Here is a 24938-nt window from a genome sequence, read left to right on the forward strand (position 1 = left end):
AGCCTCCTGAGTAGCTGGGATTACAGGAGCACACCACCACGCCTAGCTAATTTTGTATTTTTAGTAGAGACGCGGTTTCACCATGTTGGTCAGGCTGGTATCGAACTCCTGACCTCGTGATCCACCCGCCTTGGCTTCCCAAAGTGTTGGGATTACAGGCGTGAGCCACCGCACCCAGCCTTTAACTGTAACCTTTAAAAAAAAAAAATTTGGTACTGATTTCTAACTGAATCACATTCCAGTAAAGGAATATATTTTTTATGATCCATATTCACTGAAATTTGTTGATACTAGCTTTATGGCCTGGTAAGTGATTAATTTTGTAAGTGTTGTATGTGTCTTTGAGAAGAATGTGTTTTTACTACCAGTTTGGATGCAAGGTTTTATATAATATTACTAATTTCAGCTTGCTAATTTTGTGTTACAGAAATTTTCCATTTATAAATTTTCTGGGTGGCTTAAGCTATCAATAATAGCAGTGTTATGATGGTGGGTTAGTAAGTTTCTCCATGTTCTCCTATTGCTCTTTGCTTTATACATTTTGAGGTTATTTGAGTGCCTATACACTGAATCTTTTATCCTAAAATAATGACTTTTTAAAACTTGGTAAAGTTTTTTTTCCTAAATCACTTTGGTATGAGAGCTTTCTTTATAATGCATCTAGCATATATCCTGTTCCTTCTTTAGTTTTCCACCCTTCCCTGTCATTATATTTCAGGTGTGTCTTTTATAAAGAACATATACTGGATATTTCCAGTAAGTCCAACCTAATTAGTTCTGCTTTTAACTGACATGTTTAATCATAAATTATTTTATTTTATTTTAATTTTTAAAAAACTATTTTTTTTTTGAGACAGGGTCTTACTGTGTTGCCCAGGCTGAAGTGCAGTGGCATGATCATGGCTCACTGTAAGGTCCAACTCCTGGGCTCAAGTAGTCCTCCTGCCTCAGCTTGCTGTGTAGCTGGGACTACAGACATGCACCGCCATAGACTATTTAAAATTTTTTTTTTTTTTGTAGAGACAGAGTCTTGCATGTTGCCCATGGTGGTCTCAAACTCCTTGTCTCAAGTAATCTCAAAGTGCTGTGGCTTAACAGGTGTGGGCCTCTTCGAGCAGCCAACCATAAATATTTCCTGTGATTACTGATCTGTGTGTGTGTGTTTATGTGTATGATTCAATTGTCTAATTTTATGCTTTCTATGTATCTTATTTTCTCAATGCTTTTTCTTTTCTCTTCACTTTTTTTTTTTTTTGGTAGAGATGGAGGGTATCACTATTTTGCCCAGGCTGGTCTCAAGCTCCTGGCCTCAAGCAATCCTCCTGTTTCAGCCTTCCAAAGTGCTGGAATTAACTATTTTTAAATAGTTAATTAATCCATTTTTAAAAAATGGATTATTTGACGGGGGCAATATTTTAATTACATTTCCCCCTTCCACTGGTTTGGCAATTATATACTCTCTTTCTATTGACTTAGTAGTTATTTAGATATTTTACCAATGAATACTTAATGTAGTCTTATCAAGTATCAAATGCTTAACTGACTAATGAAGTAGACATCTTAAACAATTCAAGGACCTTACATTGGACTTTAACTATAATCGCCAACCCTGCAAACTTAACACGCTATTGCTGTCCATTATTTTATTTTCTTTTATTTATTTTCTTTTTTGTTTGTTTGTTTTGTCCATTGTTTTAGATTGCCTTTAAGTCTTACAAATTGTCGGGGCACAGTGGCTCATGCCTGTAATCCCAGCACTTTGGGAGGCCAAGGCAAGCAGATCACCTGAGGTCAGGAGTTTGAGACCAGCCTGGCCAACATAGTGAAACCCCGTCTCTACTACAAATACAAAATTAGCCGGGTGTGGCGGCACATGCCTGTAATCCCAGCTACTTGGGAGGCTGGGGCAGGAGAATTGCTTGAACCCGAGAGGCGGAGGTTGCAGTGAGTGGAGATCGCACCATTGCACTCCAGCCTGGGCAACAAGAGAGAAACTCCGTCTCAAATAAAAAAGAATTGAGAAACTCCGTCTCAAATTAAAGAAATTTTTTTTAAAAAGTCCTACAAATTACATTATTACAATTATCACTTTATAGAAGCAATGATTATTTATATAAACATTTTAATCAGTATATTGGCTCGTTATTCATTCTTGCATCTCAGAACTTCCTTGGGACTTTTATGAAATACACCCTTTAAAACTTCTTCGCAAAGGTCTGTAAATATTCCTCGTTTTTGAAAATCTTTATTTTACTTCATCTTTGTACATGAAAGATGGGTTTCCAGGTACATAGTTCCAGGTTGACAATTTATTTTCATGCAGCGCAATGAGGATGATTGCACTGTCTTCTGGCCTTACCGATGCTACTGAGAAATCTGATATATCATTGTCATTCCTTTGTAGATAATTTGCCTTTTCTCTTGATTCTTTTAACATTTGTCTTTGCTTTTGGTCTACTATGGTATATTATTAGGTGTGGATTTCGTTTTATTTATCGTGCATGTTATTCACTGTGCTTTTTGTATCTGTATCTATGGATTTATAACTTTTACCAGGTTGGGGAATTCTTAGCGACCATCTCATCAAATTTCATGTTTTTTTCAGCTGTTCCATTCTTTTCCTCAAGGACTATGATTGATTGTATCACAGATCTTCTTTGTCTCTTAAGTACTCCTTCAGTTTTCCATCTCCTTGAATTTTTATACTATATTCTGGCTCATTCTTCAGATGTATCTTTCCTTTCACTAATTATCTCTTGAACAATCACATTTCTCATTTCTAAAAATTATATACATTTTTCACTTCTTATTGATTCATTTTTATGGTGTTTTGTTGCTTGCTCATTTTATTTCTATAAACATCTCATCCATAGTTATTTTATAATCTATATCTTACAATTTTAGGATCTGGCAATCTTAGGAGAAAATCTCTTAGTCATTTATGTTGACTATCACTGATGGTGAATTATCCCATTTTGTGTTTGGTGATTTTTGATTGTCTAAATTAGGTATGCTGGGTAGGATTTGCATTTGCTTCTGCAGATACCCAGTGGGATCTCAGTTGGCATTAGTCTGCATGACATGGCACTTTGAAGCTGTATTTTGGTTACTTGGGAATGTTAAAGTCAGTGGATAGCACACTAGCACTGGGAAGCCATGGGATGCAATGGTGGCTGCTGAGGTCAGTTATCTGTTCTTAAGAATAAAATAAATGTAAATATCAGGGCAGTTTTTCTAATCAACATTCTGACAAGAAGGGTAGCCATTTTCATCTAAACAAAAATTAAGTCTTCAGAAACACCATTTGCACAATTTGAAAATATATTGTCTAAAAAACAAACTGGGAGAAATTCTTTGTATTATGGAAAAAACTAACATTGGAAAAAATGAACAAGATTATAAAAGCACTCTTTAAAAGAGACTACTTTCTTCCCAGTCTTTACTCATTTATATGTTATTAGAATACACATATTTCTCTCTCATAAGGTCTAAATGCCACTTAAGTTTAGGGAAAGAGATTAAGCCAATTTTTTAGATTAAAAATGAATTATTAGTGTAAATGCTGATCTAAAATTCAGTAATTAAGGGAGATAAATATTTTATTTTAAAAATTAATTATTTTTTACAAGTTTAAAAAATATAAATAAAATATCTTTTTATTCATTGCTCGTAATCCTAAAATAGATTCCAATAAACAATACATAAAATATTTTAAGGTGACTTTTTAGAACCAAAGGCAACCTAACAACAATTCATTACATTCTTATAGGCATAGAAAAAAAGAAAATGAATGAATAAAAAGCGATTTTGAATTGCTTACCTGCTGGCTGTTCTCACAGAACAATTTTTCTTGTGTCCTCTTTCAGCTCGATTATCTCTCAGAAGCTGATGCTACACAAAGTGTTAAGACAAAGTCATAGAAACAAAAATATTTTCATTATATTATTTTGCAAGTAGGAAAATATTCTCATTCAAAGGGACACTACTCATTTATTTGCACGGCTTTTTTTTTTTTTTTTTAACTGGTTTCTCTTAAAGCAAAGACTGTAAGTACTACTTTTTCTGGAGTTCAATAGTTCAGGGAGACAAGTTTTTCTTTTTAAAATTCATTCTTTATTGTCACTGTTGCAAAATTATCAGTGAGAGTTAGCAATCGAGTTCTTCCTGGACAGCTAAACTGCCCTCTTAGTCAGTTAAGATGTAGCCTGGAGATGGAAGCCTAGAACTCAGTTCTTTTTTTGGTTCACTGCAGTAGCCCTGGTTGAAGTAATGCAACCTCTCTTGTCAACGGCCTTCACTGTTGCATTCAGCTGTGAATTTTTTAAGGCTTTGTTACCTATGCTGACATAAAGAGCTAATATTATTTTCTCTGTACCTACTGGCCTAACATGGTAAAGAAACACGCTTAAAACATTCTTCTTCAAAGAAATTATTGGCTTGGAAATATATAATTAGAAAAAAACATATTTGATTGCCTCCTCAAAATGCCTTACCATCCACTTCCCTTTACACTTGCTTTACCCTAACTAATTGGAAAGAAAAAAACAAATAGTCAATATTCTTCACTATGTGCTCACTCAAACTCTAGCTTATCTTATTTATGCAGAAAATATGATTATATGCAAGACTGGGCTAAAACGAAGTTGTACAGAATATTAGCAATTAACCCCAACAAAAATAAAAGTCTTGGAAATAATAATACAGGATAGAGCTGGGTTCTAATCCCAGCTGGGCCAGTAACTAAAAAGTCACTAGGTTCCAATAATAGCTTTACCATTTACAACCTGTGTAACTTTAGGCAAAGTACTTAACTTCTCTAAGCCTTGGTCTCCACCTGTAAAATGGAAATAACAATAATATCTACCTGTAAAGCTACTGTGAGTATTAAGTAATATAAACCATTTAAAATATTCAGTGCTATAAAACTGGAACATAGGAAATGCTGAGAAATAATATGGCTTAAATGCTATGATTATAATTATGATGAAAATTAATGGGACTAGCTCTCAGTAGGTATTATCTGACCAGTATCAATAATTTCTAATGACGAATAACTGCTTTGAACTGTTCAATTACATCACTTAGAATCAATTATTAGTTTACTTAGCTGTCCTTGAGAAGGAATAGACCTTCCTTAGATGATCAAGAATATGGTTAGGCTCATTCTTTCAGGAACGTCTGAACTAAATAAGTATTCTTAAATTTTCTCTTAAATATCTACTTCTTTTCATCCCCCTTGCAACCATCCCAGTTTAGACCACCATTTTCTCTGTCCTGGAAAAGTCTCCCAAATGATCTCCCTGCTTCCAGGCCTGCTTCCTTCTAATCTACTCTCCACACTGCAGACACTATGAGCTTTCTAAAATTAATCTAATTATATGACTCTATGGAGATCAAACTCAAAATCTTGTACAAGGCTTTCATGACCCTTCATAATTTGATTACATCTCTAAATTCATAATTTATTATGCTTCCTCCTACCCCAACCTAACCTTCTTTCTTCTAAATTATATATCCTAGCCATAGTGAAGTTCTTAGTTTGGGGTATGTACCATGCTGTTGCTCATCTCTGGCCCTTTGCTTGGGTTATGCAATTTGCCTATATCTTCAGGGTTCATGCACTGTGTCTGGAGCATTTTAGTGCTCAGCAAATATTTGCTGAATGAATGGATGAATGAAATAAAGGAACAGGAAGTGAGATCTGGTATCTGATATGTAGCTGAAGCCATATCTCATTATTACTACTTATAGAAAAGAGCAACCAGTTATCTTAAATCCATTAATCTGAAAGTGTTTCAATTTAGAAACACTTCGTACCATGAACACTAAATTGTTTCTGAAAATAAAGAAAATTAATTACTTTGGCATTTCTAAGTCTAGTGCCTTTTAAAAAATATATATACAAACCAACATTTGTGACACAGATAGCTAGAAGTAAGATGATGAAATCTCTACCTCTACATTAAATTAATAATAATAGTTAATAGTTAATTATGTTTTCTAATTCTAAGATAAAAGACAGATACTTGAACACTATTCCTGAGGCTTGTGTTACAACAGTTCAAACAAAGAACTCAAAATCCCAAACCAAATGTTATGGAAAAAAAAATAAAAAATTTATAGTTTAGTTTTGAAAAATGCAATTATAAGGACCAAAATAAACATTAGGTTGTATCTACTAGGTTTCGATAGTTCTCAGAGAGGCCACCAATCTGGATGAATTTAAATGAGATAGCACCCTCTCTGAACGTTGATGTTATAGCTCCTTTTATTAGATTTATATTATAATGTGTTTTCTTCCTCAAATGTATAGTTTTGATGGGCTTTGTACATAAAAACAAGTCAAACAATGGCATTACTTAATGCAATGCATCTATATGTATAAAACCCATCACAAACTTATCTCACCTTATCAGTACAATTATACATCTGGGGATACCACTGCAACTTCAAAAGGAAGCTCAGATAAAACTACAGAGATCTCTGGGTCATGAATCACAAGTTAATATGTGAGCTTAGATCTTTTATGGGGCAAAGATGAAAAAATTAATCTAAGGTGTTACTTGAACAACATGTATTTGCATTTAGAAGGCTCCTGGCCAGGTGCAGTGGCTCACGCCTGTAATCCCAGCACTTTGGGAGGCCATGGCGGGCGGATCACCTGAAGTCGGGAGTTCGAAACCAGCCTGGCCAACATAGCGAAACCTTGTCTCTACTAAAAATAGAAAAATTAGCCGGGCATGGTGGCAGGCGCCTGTAATTAATCCCAGCTACTCAGGGAGGCTGAGGCATGAGAATCGTTTGAACTCGGGAGACGGAGGTTGCAGTGAGCCGAGATTGCGCCACTGCACTCCAGCCTGGATGAAAAAGTGAGACTCTGTCTCAAAAAAAAAAGAAGACTCCCAACATATTTTTTTTTAAAGTCAGATTATGAATTCAAAACAAACAAGAATCCTTGATCCCTGCTCTAATAAGCAAGAGCAGCTCAAAAGACTCTGAAAATTTTTTCATTCTTCTTCTTGATACATTTTTTTTTTTCTGTTCCCTTGGACTCCTATCAGTGTCACAAGTGAGGTTGCTTTCTGGATTCTGACTCAATAATGTCAACTCTGATCAAAAACAGAACTTGTGAATATGGTGCGAAGTGCTTCTTACCTTCCAACTTTCAGATTGCTGGACTTAGGCCAAACGAAGATACAATCCCCTTATTAGTGACCTGCAGATGTATATTAAAAAATAACTCATATAAGAATTACATTAAAATCTGTAAGTAAAAAACCTAGGTACAATTGGAAAAACTGCTGAATTAAACCAGGAAGAAAAGTATACCTTGTGGATAATGGTTTTTACATTTAAAGAAAAGGAACTAAGAGTTTCTGTGGCTATTCATGACATTTTTCAAGATTATTAAAAGTCTCACATCCCAAGAGGAAAGGCAAAGAGCAGAATTCTCATTCCCCACCAATCCTCTCTTTACTACCTGATTATACATAAGGCACTCAAGCTCAGGAGTGCTTCTATTGGCAGCCACTGTTCAGGTAATTCCTCAAATGTCTGCAAAATAATTTCAAGTCTCTTCACACTCAACAGTGTCCTCAAAATTAAAAGGGGAACTAAGTAAAAACTAAACTATGATCTGACTCACTAAGATACTTCTTGTAAACTCAGTCAAAATGTCTCAAGGAAGAAAAGCTTCAGAATTAAAGAAGACAAAACAAAAAATGATGCTTCCTATAGTTGCCTCTCCCTCTTTCCTTCCACCCCTGAACTAACTTTCACATTTCTCTTTCGTGGCCTTCATAGTGCCTTCTCTATGGTTTTCTGAAACATTTACCAACATAGTATAATTACTGCTTACCTGCTCCAGACTATAACCACCTCAGGGGAAAAACTATGTTGTTTTTTACAAATAACTCTTTTAATAAAAATAGAGAGTCCTCAATAGATAGTGGCTGGTGAGTAAGTTATTTAACAAATGTATAGTAAAGGCACGATCACTATGTATAGTAAATTGAAATGGGACTTAGCACTGAAGAATAGCAAGAAAGAAGAATCAATAAGATGGAGAAAGGAGTGAGAGATGGGATTTTAAAAGTAGGGTTAATATTATTGTTTCTTTGTGTTAAGTTGGTATGAGAAAAGCATAAGGTAATCATGCATGCTAATTAGTCATTCCTTCAACAATAAACTAAAAGATTTTATACTTCATGGTCTTGCATTTCACCACTTGCACCTGACTTTAGACAACAGTTTAGTCTGCTATACAGTTAGGTCTGAGTTGAACTAAGAAATTATTATCCCTTATGTAAGTAGAATGTATTGTACATATACATACATGTACAATTCATTGTCATTATTCAGATTCCATACACCTACTTGCTAACATTTATTTGTAACACAAAAACCAATACTTCCCCTGCTTTTGCAGTCATTTGCAGACATGTGTAGCCAGAGTGGTAAAAATCTGAGTAGCCTCTAACACGTTTCCAGCTGAGCTCCAGCCAGGTGACACGGCCTTGTTTCAAGCTCTCATAGTATAAACAAGTGTATTTCTTGCAGTCTGTTTAATGCTATGAGTTTTTTGGGTTTTTTGTTTGTTTGTTTGTTTGTTTTGCATAATTGTGCTTCTGTTGGTGACTTCGCTATTTAAAATGGCCCCAAGCATAGTGCTAAAGTGCTGTCTAGTGTTCCTAACTGCAAGAAGACAGTGATGGGTCTTAAAGAGAAAATATGTGCTTTAGATAAGCTTCATTCAGGCATGAGTTATAATGCTGTTGGCCCTGAGTTCGATGTTAATGAATCAACAACAGACATTAAATAAGGTATCTTTAAACAGAATCACACACAAAACAAGGTTATGTATTGATCAGTTGATGAAGATGAGACCTGGGGCTCAAAGAAACCTAACCCTGTATTTCCCCTACAAGCAATGGTTCAGTATTCATTGATTCAGTGTTTGAGTTGACTACATAGAACATAACTACCATATGTAACAAGAATTAACTGGATTTATTAATTAATAATCTACCTAGTAAGGATACAGATCTGAAATGGCACATCAAAGTTTAAGTAAAAGCTGACTCAAAAATTGGTCAAAAAGATTTAAAAAGATAAAAAAAAATTGGTCAATTTCTTCCCTATAAGGTATTAGCTATTAAAGGTAATTTTTAATTTCAGAATAAAGCTTGGCTGGAAGCAACCAGGTATACCATAGTCTAAAACCTAGATTTATAACATTGCTTTAGTACTTCTCAAGTTCTAAAGGGTAGAAAATGAGCTTTATAAAATTGTATTTTCAGATAAAATATATCCTGATGCAACTTAATACTAAAAGCGGAATATTATTGTAAGCATTGTACATAGAGGGATAAGAACCATTTAGGAAAGCAGAAAGTCTAATTTTTGTATTGTAAATAATAAGAGGAACACATCATAGATGTAGCTTAGCTTAGTTCATTCTGAATTCATAGAAATAGTGGCACATAGTCCATTATTAATGTGAGAAGTATCTTTAAAATGTAACTCACTCTCATGGAAAAAAGCAAGTTAAAAAATCATGAAAATGGAAGGTATTTCTATTAAGCTTATGTGTGTTAAAAAATAAAGAAGGGTTCAAAATGAAGTGTGTAGCACCTTCCTTTTATTAGTAAAAGGAACTCTGGTATATGCAACAGCTGTGAACCTGCTGCTCAGCCCAAGAAATCAAACATTATAATGTTACCAATTACCATTAAAGCACAAAGTCCTCTTTACTACCTAAGTCTCTGCCTACCCCTCAGAAGAAATGATTCCTGAAGATTTGAGGTTGACCACTCCCCTTTATTTTAAAAATAACTTTTATCATTCACAATAAAAGATAAAAACTTTGCAAGGATGCAAACTCTAAAATGTATATGTTTTAAAACATCACAAGTTTAAGCATGCTTCCGAGAAAGAACTAATATAATCAAGGGGTAACTGCTGATTTTACATGTAAAAATAACTGTAATGAATGTCAACTTCTCACTGAGTCAACTAATCATTGTGCTGCCATGTATACCAGTAAGAAATTTAAAAAAATTCATCTAGAAATATAATGTAAAAGTATAAGAAACTCTTCCTACCTTCCAAACTTCAGATACAAATATTCTCTTCCTGGCTGAACTTAGATTTAATACAAATTAATTTTTAAGCACATGTACTGTTTTGATACCTTAACTTTGTGAAAAATAAAGATCAATAGTGAGGTCCTACAAATGAGTGAGTTTCAGAGTCTTTCCATGGAGGTCACAAGTATGACTGAAGACAGTGGCAGTAAAGGAAAGAAAACTCTCATGCTGATTAAGGATCACGCATTTATTTGGTCAGTGTATTTAATCGTTGACATAATTAACACCTTTTAAAATGAGCGGGGATTTGTATTTTTTCTCATAAAGCTGATCTACTCTCCTGAAGGGAGACAGTTAAATACTTGAAAGAGGCTGAGTAACTTCCTTTTGGATTACAATGGTCCTTACCTGGTCATGCTCTGTCCTAGCCCCAGGGCTAAACCAATGGCTGCAGAGGAAAGAAAAAGGCAGTTAGAGGGAACCTAACTAAAAGCACGTGCTCTCACATGATCGAGCCGCATGTGCTTTAAGAAATTTGTCACCAGCAACACAGCCTTAAATATGCTTTATTTTAATGGATGTTTCATGTAATTCTAGACTTAGACCAATTTTGACAGAACTGTAAAAGTGCTCATAACCTGGTAATTTTCAATTTAATAAGCAAACTGAGTTAGAATTACATTTCCATTTAATTATGTTAACATAAACTGCTGGGACTGTATTCATTTTATGAATCAATTCTGGTTATAAAACCTACAAATGCTATCATTTACCACAACTTAATTATAGCATCATTACAACACATTATGACCCTTTGATTGTTGGAGTTATAAAAAAAATGTTAAAAATACAACAATATTACATTATCTAGCTATGCCCCCAGGAGCAATACACAAAGCCCTTGATATGAATTCTGCAGCATCAGCTGAGGTACCTTGGACCTATTCCCTCCACAGTTATAACAACCTAGATTCTGGCTGAGAATGAAGTTCAACAACATTAAAAATATAGAAGTCACTGCATCATCAAAGCCTTGCCTTCTCACATAGCCTAGCCCAGCCCATTTTGCTTCAGCTGCCCCTGGGACTCTTAATACCGATGTATCTGGCAATACCTTTTCCACGGGAGTTGTTAGCATTAGCTATGCGCCCAGTCCTCTGGCATTATTCTGCATAAAAAAACTAACTGTAAACATCAAGGACTAGGAGATTGAGAGAGGTATTATGGCAAATCAATCACTAAAGGCCCACGATCACAGGGAATGATACTAACATTACTATTAATGCTATTTATGATTTCAACAACCATAATACCAAGTACCTCTATGTACTAAGCACGTGACATGTTTTATTTCCCATCTTCATAAAATCCTTACAAGGTTAGGCTCATGTTCCAAATACAGAAATGAGGGCTCAAAATGTTAGCTTACTTGCATAAGGTGTGTTTTCACCACACCACGCTGCAGAAGGGCAAGGGGCTAGAAAGGGTTTACATCTCCTGGGACGCTCCAAGACTTCTTTGCATTCTCTAGCCTCTGTGGTATTAAAACCAGGAACAAACAGCCTCTACATTAATAGGCCTTGTTTAGGCCTTAATATAGAATTTCTCAAGCTCATAGATAGTGATAGTGATGCTTCTAGGCAGGTCAAATTCCACCAGTGATGGGGGAATGTACATTTATTGGTATTAGTAAATAACACCTGGATTAATTACCAAATTAATTAATCTTTCATTGTAGTTCCTCTGACAGCTTGACTAAGATATTTCCCCTGTTTTGGATTGTGCCTTTTTTTTTTTTTTATTTAAAGACAAACATTTTTCTTAAACGCATTCGCACAGTTTAAAAGAAAAAAACTAAAAGGATTAAAAACAGCAATTTCTTGTTCCATCTATCCTGACTCCTAAGCTCTGTTGAGAGACACCACTGTCAACTCTTTTAGTCTTTTCATTTTGTGTTTAATGCTATATTTCTAAAGAATATGGTTATACCAATAGCTTGTAATTCATTGATTTTAGATGTGAAGTACTGACTTTCTATTGTCAGACTTAGCTCTTTTTTAACTCCCAACCCTCTATTTCCAATTATAGCATCTTTTTGATTAATCAATTGTAAATACAGACATTATTATGACTACATGAATACTTTCTGCTACTAAGCTTTTCTTTTTGTTTCTCCTAAAGTTGATATTTGTCTTGTTTTTGCTATTTTTTCTATGTACCTGCCAGCCTTCTTAATTTTTCTAAATACCTGCCAGCCTGTCTTTATTACATTCTTATTCTTATCACTGTTAGTTTTCAAATATTAAAAAATATCTGAAAATATGCCCATCCCTTACTCCTCCCTCCTCTTCAGCCTCCAGTGATCTCCTCCCAAAGCCCTCTGTCTACTTGGTCTCACAGCTGTTGTTTTCTAGATCTGTCCTGGAACTTCCTTGGCTCTCACTGGGTGTTCACATCATTTCTCTCCTTTGCTGCACCTCTTGTTTCCTGTATCCCACAGCTTCTCAGTTCATTTCCACCTTTTGCTGAAGAACTCACTCAAATAGTGAGAATGGTTGAGAAGCGTATTGTTTGAGTTGATTTTTTCCCGCTTGTTTGTTTTCTTCTTCATATTCTTAAGTTTTCAATAGGCCAACAAAAAATGCTTATTTTTGTTGTTTGGAATGTGATCTGGATTTCTTTCCTCTGGATGCTGTTAGAAGTTTTTAATTTCTCTAGTAGTGAGCATTTTTCATTTACTGTGTTGGGTGAGACCTTGCAATCTAGAGATCTGGGTCCTCCAGTATGAGAAAATTAGTTTTTGTTTTTTTTCTCTCTCTGGAATGCCTAATAATTAAATGTCAGATCTCCTGAGCTGATCTGTTAGTTCTTCTTATTTTTTTCCTCCTAAAATTTGTCTTTTTGTTTGCCTGCTAAGTGATTTATCAATCTTTACAAGAAATATTTATTTTGAGATAATTGTAGGTTTACGTGCAGTTGGTAGAGATCCTGTGCACCTTTATCCCGTTTCCCAAAATGATAATATTTTGCAAACTATAGTGTAACATCACAACTAAGACACTGAGACTGATACAGACTAGATACAGAACAATTTATTACTACAACGATCCTTCATGTTGTCCTTTTATAGCCATATCCATTTCACTCCAACCCTCAATCTCCTACATTGAATCCCTGTTAACCCACTAACCCATTCTCTATTTTTATAATTTTGTCATTTAAATAATGTTACACAAATGGTATGATACAGGATGTAACCTTTTTAGATTGGCTTTTAAACTCAGCAAAATTCTCTGAAAAGTCAGAGAAGTTGTTGCATGTATCAATAGTTTATTCCTTTTAATTCTGAGCAGTATTCCATTGCATGGGTGAACATAGTTTGTTTAACCATTCACCTATCGGAAGACTTCTGAGTTATATCCAATTTTGGGCTATTATGAATAAAGCTGCTGTTAACCTTAGTGTAGAGGTTTTTCTATGAACAGTGTTTTTACTTCGGTGGGATCAATGACCAAGAGTGCAATTGCTGGTTAGTATTGTAGTTACATGTTTAGTTTCATAAAACTGCCAACATTTTCCAGAATGGCTACACCATTTTATAATCTCATCAGCAATGTATGAGTAATCCAGTTTTTCCACATCCTCATTGGCATTCGATGCTGTCACTATGTTTTACTTCAGCCAATCTGATAGATATGTAGTGATATCTCATTGTGGTCCTAATTTGCATTTCTCTAATAGATAATGACACTAAACATCTTTTTGTGTGCTTATTTGCTATTTGTGTATCCTCCTTGGTAAAATGGATGTTCATGTTTTTTGTCCATTTTCTAACTAGATTGTTTTGCTTTTTAACTGTTTTATAACTATTACATTTTGAAAGGTCTTTATATATTCTAGATACTAGTCTTTTGCTAGATATGTGGTTTGCAAATATTTTCTCTCAGTGTGTAGCTTCTTTTCATTCTTTCAAAGGAAATTTTCCAGAACACTAGTTTCAAATATTGTTGAAAAGACTATTCTTCCTCCATTGAACAGCTTTTGCACGTTTCTCAAAAATCCATTGACTATACTTGTGTGTGTGCGGGGGGAGCTATTTTTGGGGGTCTCTATTCTGTTACATTGATTTATGTGTCTATCCCTCTACCAATACCACACAGTCCTGAATACTGTAGCTATACAGTAAGTACTGAAATCTGGTAGGATAATTCCTACAACTTTGTTCTTTTTAAAAAAATTGTTTTTGTGATTCAAATTCCTTTGCTTTTCCATATACATTTTAAAATAATCTTTGCTATATCTACAAAAAATCTTGCTGGGATTTTGATAAGAATTGCATTAAACCTAATTATCAATTTGGGGAGAACTGACATCCTTACTATGTTGAATCTTCCAACCTATGAACCATGAAGTCTCTTCATTTTTGTAGATCTCTTTTGATTTCTTTCGCCATTTTAATCTCCCATTTTATTTTTCATTTCTTTCACTTTTTCTTCAAAATGTATGAAGAAAATGTTCAAATATTCAATAAAGTTAACAGCATCTTAGAATGAATACCCATATACCACTATCTAGATTCTACTATTAACATTTTACTCTACTTGGTTTATAAATTATCTGTCTATGGCATCTTTTGATGAGCAGGTCCTTTTTTCCTGTTTGTTCCTCTCTTTATACTGAAGTCTTTCCTCAAATATCTGGTGATCTTTACTTATCTATTCAATATTTAAAAAGCACTACAAAACTGATCAGAAGAGCTTTTTCAACAAATAAGTTTACCCACAGGATGATCATACAAGTGTCTCCTCATGGTGGAAACTTACAGGTTTACTATCTTGTCTATTTTTCTCATATTAGTAAATTTCTGAAGAAAAGAAAGATTTACTTTCTTGACTGAGACATACTATTTCAGTTCCATGCCCCACCCTATTTAGAAGTTTTCAGATTTTCTAGGGCCTGTGAGGGACAAATCAGCATTTATTTCATCAGACTCTTAAGTTTATATTTATTCTACCTGCCTGTTTAGGTACAAATCTCCAAGTGCTTTCTAGCTCTAGAAATTGGCTGAAATCTCTAATCTGCTGAAGTGTTCCTTCTTTGTCATTGTGTGTTTATATCTTTTTTCTTCTTTCTAGTGGAATTTGGGTAGGAAGAATAAAAATAAATGTTCAGAGCAGCAAACAACCAAGAGACAGTGGTACCACTGAGGCCATGAAGAAACGTTTTAAGAAGGGAGTGGTCACTGGTGTTAAATATAGAGAAATCAAGTCTGACAGGAACTGAGAAAACACAACTGGAGGGGCCACTGGTGAACTTTTCCAGAGAAGTTTCTAAAAAGTGACGTAGGAAGAAATCAGGAGTATAATATCATGGTAGGATGGAGCAGAAGGGACTATACTGTAATCTATTCTTTCTAGAAGTTTGGCTTTCAAAGTATGAGAGACAGAAAACACATTAAAGAAAATTAAAGGGGAGGTTACAAAATGTAGTGGATGATGAAAGAAACTTTTGGAAAGGAAAAAAAACCTTTCAATCAAAAGCATAGGTGTTATGAATTAGCCTTGGACAGGAGAAGAGAGATCTTTTCCTCTAAGTCTAAGAAAAAGGGGAGTGAAAGTATATTTGGATAAGTTTATCCAAATTTAAATAGCAGTCTTAATGAGCCTAAAGAACACAGGTAGTGAACATAAGATAAAAAAGCTGAAAGAGTATTAGGTTGTGGTAAGAAAATGGTATCATACCATTCAAAATTTCAGAGCTCTATTAGTTCTGGGTGATGGTTATATATAAGAGTAGCCAGGGGAGTTTCTCAAGTAGCAGTCAGATGAAGAACGTTGAATTCCAGGAGGAAAAAAAAAGTGTGCTAAGTGCCAGCATGTACTATTCCATCCAACTGTTGGTCAAAGGAGTACCCAACATGCATTGAGCCCTTACTAAGGCAATTTAATCCTTAAACTACTCTAGGGACAGTTATTATTACCATTCTGCAAATAAAGAAACAGGCTCAGAGAGATTAAGAGGTTTGCCAAAGACTTCATAACTAAGCAGCAGAGCGGGAATTCAGTTAGGTCTCCTGATTCCAAAGCCCACGTCCCTTCCAACCATTACACATGTTGCCACCAATTAGGATAGCTGAGGTTGATGCAGGAAAGAAAGACTAATTCAAGCGCCAAAGTCCTGTACGAATGAGGGCAAATAAGGAAAGGTAGATGGTAGTATGAACCTCAAACAACAAAAAAAGTTTTACCCAGGAGTAAAAAAGGAATAATCTGAAAGGGACAATGATGTTGTAGGAAAATGGTGGCCTCTGTGTCCTAGGGTTTATAGGAATGAGAGGAGGCGAATGGCGTCCTCCTTTGGGCAGCCTGTTGAACTCACCCTGGCAGATTTAGATGCTTCCTTTTCCAATCCCAATGTCTCTGCCGATATATCCACTAAAGCTATTATATTCGTATATTGCAGTTGATTCTTTATCTTAATAATAAATCAGAGGTCCTTGAGAAAAGGATAATGATAATAACACTAACAGAAATAGTGGTAGCAGCTAGAAAATGTGGTAGAAGTAGTAATCAAAGTTGCAGTAAAAGCACTATCACCACTCTATAAGTGTTAGTTGTGTGCTGGTTATCATTCTCATGGCCATACATGAATTATCTCATTCAATTCTTACAACGATTTTATGAAATAGTCCTGTCACCATTCAAGCTCACACAGCTAGCAAGTACTGGAATCAGAATTTGAATTCAGTCTGTCTGATTCCATATCTTGTATTTTTAACCATATACTTCCCCTTCATTTCCTTCAAGTACTATCATGTTTTGGGGGCATAATGGAAGGGTTGGTTTTCTTTTTCTTTTCTTTCTTTCTTTTTGGTGTTGCCAGAATCCAGCATAATACATGGAAAATAAAAGTTGCTTAATAACTTTTTAGTGAAAAATGAGCAAACAAGGAAACACAGGAAGTAGCATCCTTGAAAGTCAGAGTCAAGTTTATGCAAAGGCAGAGGAAGAAAAAAATGCTCTGAAAGAGAATGGGTATTTATTTATGTGTATTTACACTGGAGCCAAGGTTCCACACGGGCTTCATGGAGAGACTAACAGTGGTAGAAAAATCTGGGAGTAGGGAGCACAGAAGAGTTTAAAACTGATCAACTGTAAAGAATGGCTAGGCTCAGAGACACAGGCAGATTGCCTGTCCTCACAATTCATAAGGGTTGAATGTGGTTTCCAAATTCAGTTCTCCCCCTAGGACATAGACGCAGTTTAGAGAGGTCTAGGAACTAAGCGTGGCATATTATTTCATTTAATCCTCACCGCAGCACTGCTGATAACAAGAATAGTTATCACCTATTGAGCCCTCAGTACAGTGCTCTTTCAAGTACAGTAGAGCAGTTGTGGTTGGTAACCCTGTGGAGTAGAAATAATTTTTTTTTTAAGAATGACTGGAAAATAAACCTTTAGGAAAGAGGTTTTAAAACCAAAATCTCTGCAGATGCAGAGTTCCACACTAATTCCTTCTCACTGTTCCTTAATTCCCCCTTTTCTCACCCACAGTGTTGAACTACAGGTAGCAGAAATGTATAGGATTTCATGGGAAGTCAATTAATATTATATGTAGACAAAAGGACAAAATCAACCTCAAGATTCTTAACTGAGGTCTCCTAAAAATGTACTTTTCAGAAGGAAAGAGCTATTGCAACTTATAATATGGATTTTTATTGTTAGAGATAAGTTTCTGTTTTTGGAGTCAGAGGCATAATTTCATTTTAACTTAATAGTGGGGCTAATATATATAAAATGATCTAAATCTGTGCTAATATGGTAGCCACTAGCCATCTATGGTTATTTAAATTTACTTTATTCAATTAATTAATTTATTTTTATTTATTTTTTTGAGACAGAGTCTTGGTCCATCACCCAGGCTGGAGTGCAGTGGCACAATCTTGGCTCACTGCAACTTCCACCTCCTGGGTTCAAGTGATTCTCCTGCCTCAGCCTCCCAACTGGTTGGGATTACAGGCATGTGCCACCACGCCAGCTAATTTTTGTATTTTTGTAGAGACAAGGTTTCACCATGTTGGCCAGGCTGGTCTCGAACTCCTGACCTCAAGTGATCCTCCCATTTCGGCTTAAATTTAAATTCATATGAAAAATTAAGTTTCTTAATTGCAATGGCTACATTTCAAGTGCTAAAGGCATATACGGTTTCATAACTACCATACTGGACAGTGAAGATACAGAACATTTCCATTATTGTAAAGAGTTCTTCTGCTGGGTAACACTGGTCTAAGTGGATTATCACTAAATATATGAATTAACTTTGGAAATGGTATACAGTCTTCTATACCGACAGTTTCCCTGTGAACTATAACTACTTTATTGAAGAGACTTGCAAGTATGAAAAACTATACACGAGAGAGGAGGGAGGGGGACAAAGAAGTAGAAATATATGCCAAACTCCTAACCCAATATACTATAACAGGGTTTCATAGATTGAGATATGGAAATAAAAATTAGGGCAAGATGACAGAGTATTAAGAAGCCATGTGGCTAGGTAAGAACAGATCTTGGTAGCAGTCATAAGGAGGATGCCTTTTGGCCTTTGGGCATCCTCCTTATGATTGTCAATGTAGAAATTGACAGGGAGTTCATTCATACCAAGGGAACAATAAATAAGCAAAAGCAAACCAAAACCTTAAGTGGTTTTCCAAACACTCTTAGGAGAAAGAATCTGTAACATGACCTACCAGACTTGGCATCATGTGCTCCTTGCCGAACCTTCTCTGGTCTCATCACATACCACATGCTTTTCCTTCCTATATTGTGCTCAATATGCTTTAGCATAAGAATCCTTTAGTTTCTTGAACACAATACGTATTACTTTCTCTGCCTGAAAAGCTCTTCTTGCCACCAGTTCACTTAGATCCTAGAGAGCTCATTAGCCGTCCCCATCTCAATGTCTAGTTCAAATTCAATTTTTACAAGTTCTTCTTTAGAGTACTTAGCTCAGTATATAATAATGCATTTATGTGTCAGCATATAATTATACATTTGTGTGTGTGCTTACTGAGTAATCTCTATTACCTCTATCACACTGTGAGTAATGTGAGAACCACAACAACTGTGATCATGTCATCCTATTCACTACTGTACACCCGGCACCTAGTACACCCTCATAAATATCTTCTGAATGAATGGACAAATGAATGACTTGAGATACAGGATGGAGTTTCATCAACTATGGTTGCTATGCTGTTCTATATGAAGGTAAAAGAATGAGAACACTGGGCTGTGTGATCTTTTAAGATTCCTTTGGGTTCTTATGTTCTATGGACTAGAAGACCAGGATGCTAACGGTATTCCTCACTCAATAACATGTTGTATGTAACAAAAAGTCAACTCTAAAATTATGCTCAAGAGGCCCTGCTAAACTTTATTTCTTGTATTAAACTGCTAATGTAAATTCAGGAAGTTCAGCCTGATGTGGTTACTAAATCAGAAAGACCTAAGCTTGGATACAGGCTCTGGAACTTACTGGTTAGGTGAATTCTGACAAATTATTTTATTTTCTGAGTCTCAGTTTCTTCCTCATGCATAAAATAAAATTAACCACTCTCAGTATTTGTAAGACTTAAAACAACACTAATAAATTGGCAGATGGTGTTTAAAATAAATATTAATTTTCTTCCCCTAACAGTACAGTGGAATATAGTAATATGTAAACTTTTATTCCATAAGTTTTAACATGCAATAATTACCTTTTAATTTCTAAATGTCTATAAAGAAACAAGTGCTAAAGGGCATTACTTATACCCTAACAGGTTTAGCATGTTAACCAACAATTAATAGAGGCTTAATACATTTGTCTTTTTAATTGACTTTTGGTTGAGCGATGTGTAGTGTGTAACTTTAGAAAAGTCAAATTATTTATAAAATGGGGTCTAATACCTGCTATGACTACTTGAGAGAGGTAGTAAAAATACTAAAAACAGTGGTGCATATGAAAATTATCTGAAAAAATAAAATACAGTGTACAATATAAAGTATGTCATCATTATCATCATTTTGAAATGTTTCATACCTAGTTTAATAATATTTCTGTATTTTACACCTAAGCACCTTGTAAAAATATATAAGAAAGGACTGTTACTGTATTATATTTATTCTATAAATAAACTTAAGACACGTAAGCTAAATGACTCACCCATGGGAATCACAATAAATCAGAGGAGGAATCGATCTGTATTTCTTATTTATCTCAGTCTAGAGTTAAAGACACTTTCACTATAAAGCAATAGATGCTAAATTTCAAAGTGTAAAAGTATTCCCAATGAAAATAACCTTTAATCCAGGCAAATCTTGCTTTAAGCAAACTCGATATTTACACAAAAGATAAAATAAGGGGTGAGTATTTGCTTTATAAAGGAATTCATCATAGGATTATAATGAGTTACCCATGTGCATTTAAAATAAGTTTGATTTACATACAATTCCTCAGGTAAATATCCTCTACTTCAAACTGAAATAAAAGTAAAATATATCAATTGCACAATCGATTAATAAATCATATTTATCTCTATTTAAAAGCAAGTATCTCATAAGTGATTGGAAAAAGAAAGGAAAACTTTCTGGAACCATGTACAGAGTACATAAATGGAGGCCAAATTAATAAGAAGTAACTCCATTTTTATGCTTACATGTATTTTTAATGTAGTCATATATTAATTTTATTTTTAACATTTTAATATTTGTAGTTTTAAAAAGTCAACAGAATAATTAAAAGAGAATTTCAAAACGTAGGTTACTTTTACTGAGAAATTAGATACTAATTTCTCTAGCTGGATTGAGGCTCTTGTCTTTTTTGCATGTAGCTCTCTAGTTATCTTAGTCAGTATTTCATTTCTCTGTGCTACATATTTCTGATTAAAAAAACCTATCATACATTAATGATTAGACTTTAAATATAGTAATATGTTTTTCAAGGAAATAATTACTAGATGTTATTTAAGACAATTCATACATTGTTGTGTTATTTTATTAAAATGATCGCGTTTTTATAATTATGACACTCTGGAAGGTTTTTCAGTATCTGTCTTCAAAAATAAGACTGCAGCCTGGAGTGGTGGCGCACGCCCATAATCCCAGCACTTTGGGATGAGAAGGCGGGTGGATCACTTGAGGTCAGGAGTTCAAGACCAGCCTAGGTAACATGGTGAAACCTCATATCTACTAAAAGTACAAAAAAGTGGCTGGGGGTGGTGGTGCACGCCTCTAGTCCCAGCTACTTAGGAGGCTGAGGCACAAGAATCACTTGAACCTGGGAGGCGGAAGTTGCAGTGCACCAAGATCGCGCCACTGCACTCCAGTCTGGAGTGAGTCATCTGGCTTTTTCATCCTCTAAATATAAAAGCAACATGTCTACTGAAATAAAGTTTGGTAGATACTAACATGTACCCCTACCTCACCCGCTCCCAGTAAAATACAAAACTAACCTGCAATCCCATCATCCAGTGATGACCAATTTTAGTGTTTATTTCTGGTGGTGATTTGTCTTATATCTTCTGCGAGCTAGTCTCTGAACTGAGCCTTTCTGAACCTCAAGTTCTCATCTATAAAAATCAAGTGACTAGACTGGACAGCACCTAAGGCTCATTCTAGCTCTAGTACTTGCTTCTTCTGCCAATTATCAATTGTATTTGACAAGTATTCAGTTGGTGCCTTCTGAATGCTTTCCATCACTAGCCAGCAGTAGAACTTGATAATCTTGAACCGAGAGCCTATGATTTGAGTGTAACGCATTGTGATGTACATTGTAAGAGATTCAAAGTACAAGACAAAGTTTCCAACCTCGGCAAGTTCTTGGTCCATTAATGGGAATAAAACATGTATTTTATAATTATACAACAAATAATAATATGATAAATACTGTAATCAAGTAAAAATAAAACTTAAAGGAAAAAATAAGAGAGATAGAGAATGCTGATACGAATTTGAGGGGAAACACCAATGATTCCTTAAAGTAGGTTATAGCAGATACTATTACTGCTTCCTCAATAGCTCTGAAACTGCCTCCTTCCAGATTTCTGGTTCTATCAGTAAACTAAACTGCTATTTGTTTAAACCACTATTTGTAGAATATTCTGTTACTTTTTCCTGAAAGCATGCTATACAACAGTGGTCTTTACCATTTTTGAATATGTATTGCCTGAAATAGTTATGAAAATTCCTCATGTAAGTTTAGGAAGACATCTAATATTCTTCAACAAAAATTTAAACATTTGCAAGGATTTAATTTTATATCAATTATAATTGATTATAAATTATCAACATGTTGATAATTTAAAATAAAACCATTATGCTACTCTTTGAAATATATACATTGGGACATAAATATTATTGTGATTTGATATCCTCCACCATTTATTTAAAACAAAAACCAAACCAGGATGCACATTTCTTTAAAAGTTGAAAATTTTACATAGTTTATTTTTCTTCTTAAACTCCTGTTTAATATATATTTAATATATAATAATATATCGGGTAACAGCAAACATAAAAAATAAAACAACAGTAAACACAAAAATAAAATTTTATTAGAAAGGCATCATTAATGAGCTTTCCCCCAAAATTAGTTCATTGATGAGTACGTCTTTTAGTGCCAATTCTATCACCATCTTTTAATTTTATAGAGTGCTCAGAAATCTTATTCATACAAATTGGTAAATGGAAATAAAAGGAACTTGGTTAGAGCAGTCATTTGATTATTTAAACACTTTCGGAGTTTTGTGCCCAAAGTCACAAAATGACTTCTAGGTTAAGAAATATTTTTAATAATCTACCAGTTGCTGAAAAAAAAGAATTAGAGGCCAGGTGCAGTGGCTCACATCTGTAATCCCAGCACTCTGGGAAGCTGAGGCGGGCAAATCACCTGCAGTCAGGAGTTTGAGACCAGCCTGGCCAACATGGTGAAACCCTGTATCCACTAAAAAAATACAAAAAAAATTATCTGGGCGTGGTGGCGCACGCCTGTAGTCCCAGTTACTCTGGAGGCTGAGGCAGGAGAATCGTTTGAACTGGGAGGCAGAGGTTGCAGTGAGCTGAGATCACGCCACTGCACTCCAGCCTGGGTGACAGAGTGAGAATCCGTGTCAAAAGAAAAAATAAAATAAATAAAATAAAATAAACATAAAATAAAATTAGAAACTATATACCTAAATTTGCAAAATGCTTTATGATGTATTCATTAAATTCAATCCCTCCACATCAATACCAGCACAATATCTGAAATATCTCTGTTTACAGCCCGGAAAGATTTTATACTGTGCACCAAAGATTAGGATTGGTAGGGGTGTCTTTTTTCCCTAAGGAAGAAGAAAGGCACTGGGAAAAGTAAGAACCAGCAAAATAACCAGGGCTGATAATTTTCAGGAAAGACATCTATAAATGGAAGCAAGGGATTTGAAAATTGACTCCCTTAAAACTACTGCTGATTCTGCTAGAAATTATTTGTATATCCTGAGGGTATGAACACCTTAGTTTTTCTACTATGAGATGCTGAATTTGATAATAAGAGTCAGTTTCATGTATCTAACTCAGGGAGCAGGAGGAATGAAAGAAGGGTAACAGGCAGTATAGAACCACTTATTCCAGCTAGGAAGTTGGGGAAGCATATAACTAAAACTCTCTGCCCAGAGTGGATACTGGCCATATACCTTCTTCTGTTAAAGGACCTGATGGGAAAATTTCAGATATTGGGTTTTTCTCCTAGAGCAACAAAAGAGACAAGCTGAAGTAAAATGGAGTCAGTTTTAAAGCAGATAGGCAGGTCAGTCCCTAGAAGGGCATCAACCTATGTAACTTAACTGGAAGTCTGTGTGTGTGTGTGTGTGTGTGTTTGTGTCTATACAGCGTTGCCTGTATACTTATTTATTTGTGTAAAAGAAAATTCCCATGATGTGGTGTCCTGTGGCTTCTCCTTGTCAAGAGTGGGGTCTGTAAGGGACCTCCCCCACATTGGCTCTACATAGGTAAGGGGTGCGCCTGAAGAAAGGGATGAAAATACAGACTTACCAAATGAACCTATAAAACATTATCAAGGCCAAGCATGGTGGCTCATGGCTGTAATCCCAGAGGTGGAAGTGGAGGTGGCAGGATTGCTTGAACCCAGGAGTTCAAGACTAGCCTGGGTAACACAGTGAGACCACATGTCTACCAAAAAAAGAAAAATTAGCCAGGCATGGTGGCCCATGCTTGTAGTCCCAGCTACCTGTGGAGCTGAGGCCAGGGGATCACGTAAGCCTGGGAGGTTGAGGCTGCAGTGAGCCATGATAGTGATTGCACCATTGCACTCCAGCCTGGGCAGCAGAGCAAGACCCTGTCTAAAAAAATAAATAAATAAAACAAAATATAATCTGAATTGAATTAAAGTCTTATAATTAGGGAATGGCATTGGGGAAACCATGTTTGGAACCCCTAAATGGAAACAGGCAGTGGCATGGAAGCTAGATTTAACAAGCAAAATGACTAGATCTTCCTGAATACCTCTGTGTAGGATTTCTCTGACAAAGAGCATGAGCCTGCTGACAAAGATTTCCTAAAGACCTATACCTACCTGCTGGAGGCCATGGCTTTGAACTGCCTCAGGGCGAAGCCATTAAACTAAGGAGACTAAGAGTAGAGGAAGAACATGGAGGCCAGCAGCATTTGCTGGCATGAAACTGCAACAACAAACACAACAGAAACCACTATATTTTTGATGAAATGCTAGTGCTGAAATAAACAACTTGGTCAACAAGAGTCTGTGACTGTTTAGTTCCTTAGGCAGATGATAAACCCCTTACTTTCACCAACA

The 24938-nt window shown here is 35.3% G+C and overlaps 1 protein-coding gene across 8 annotated transcripts in view; it reads right to left on the bottom strand.

Annotated features, from left to right (window-relative positions):
* GPATCH2 (G-patch domain containing 2) overlaps positions 1-24938 on the bottom strand; it is a 204099-nt gene that overhangs the window by 60868 nt on the left and 118293 nt on the right. For 2 of the 8 annotated variants that reach the window (NM_018040.5, XM_011509689.4), the window contains exons 7-8: positions 10497-10536; positions 3821-3891 (exon numbers count right to left, since the gene is read on the bottom strand). The exons of 2 other annotated variants lie outside the window; for them this stretch is intronic. In NM_018040.5, the coding sequence (NP_060510.1) occupies positions 3821-3891; positions 10497-10536 (111 nt within the window). Of the gene's footprint in view, positions 1-3820; positions 3892-3999; positions 4835-7155; positions 7217-10496; positions 10537-22544; positions 24805-24938 lie in introns of those variants that run through there. 4 more of the 8 variants (XM_047423792.1, XM_017001593.3, XM_047423801.1 and 1 more) reach the window with 4 other exon arrangements.

The sequence above is a fragment of the Homo sapiens genome, chromosome 1, assembly GCF_000001405.40.
Source record: "Homo sapiens chromosome 1, GRCh38.p14 Primary Assembly".
NCBI classification, from domain to species: Eukaryota; Metazoa; Chordata; class Mammalia; order Primates; family Hominidae; genus Homo; species Homo sapiens.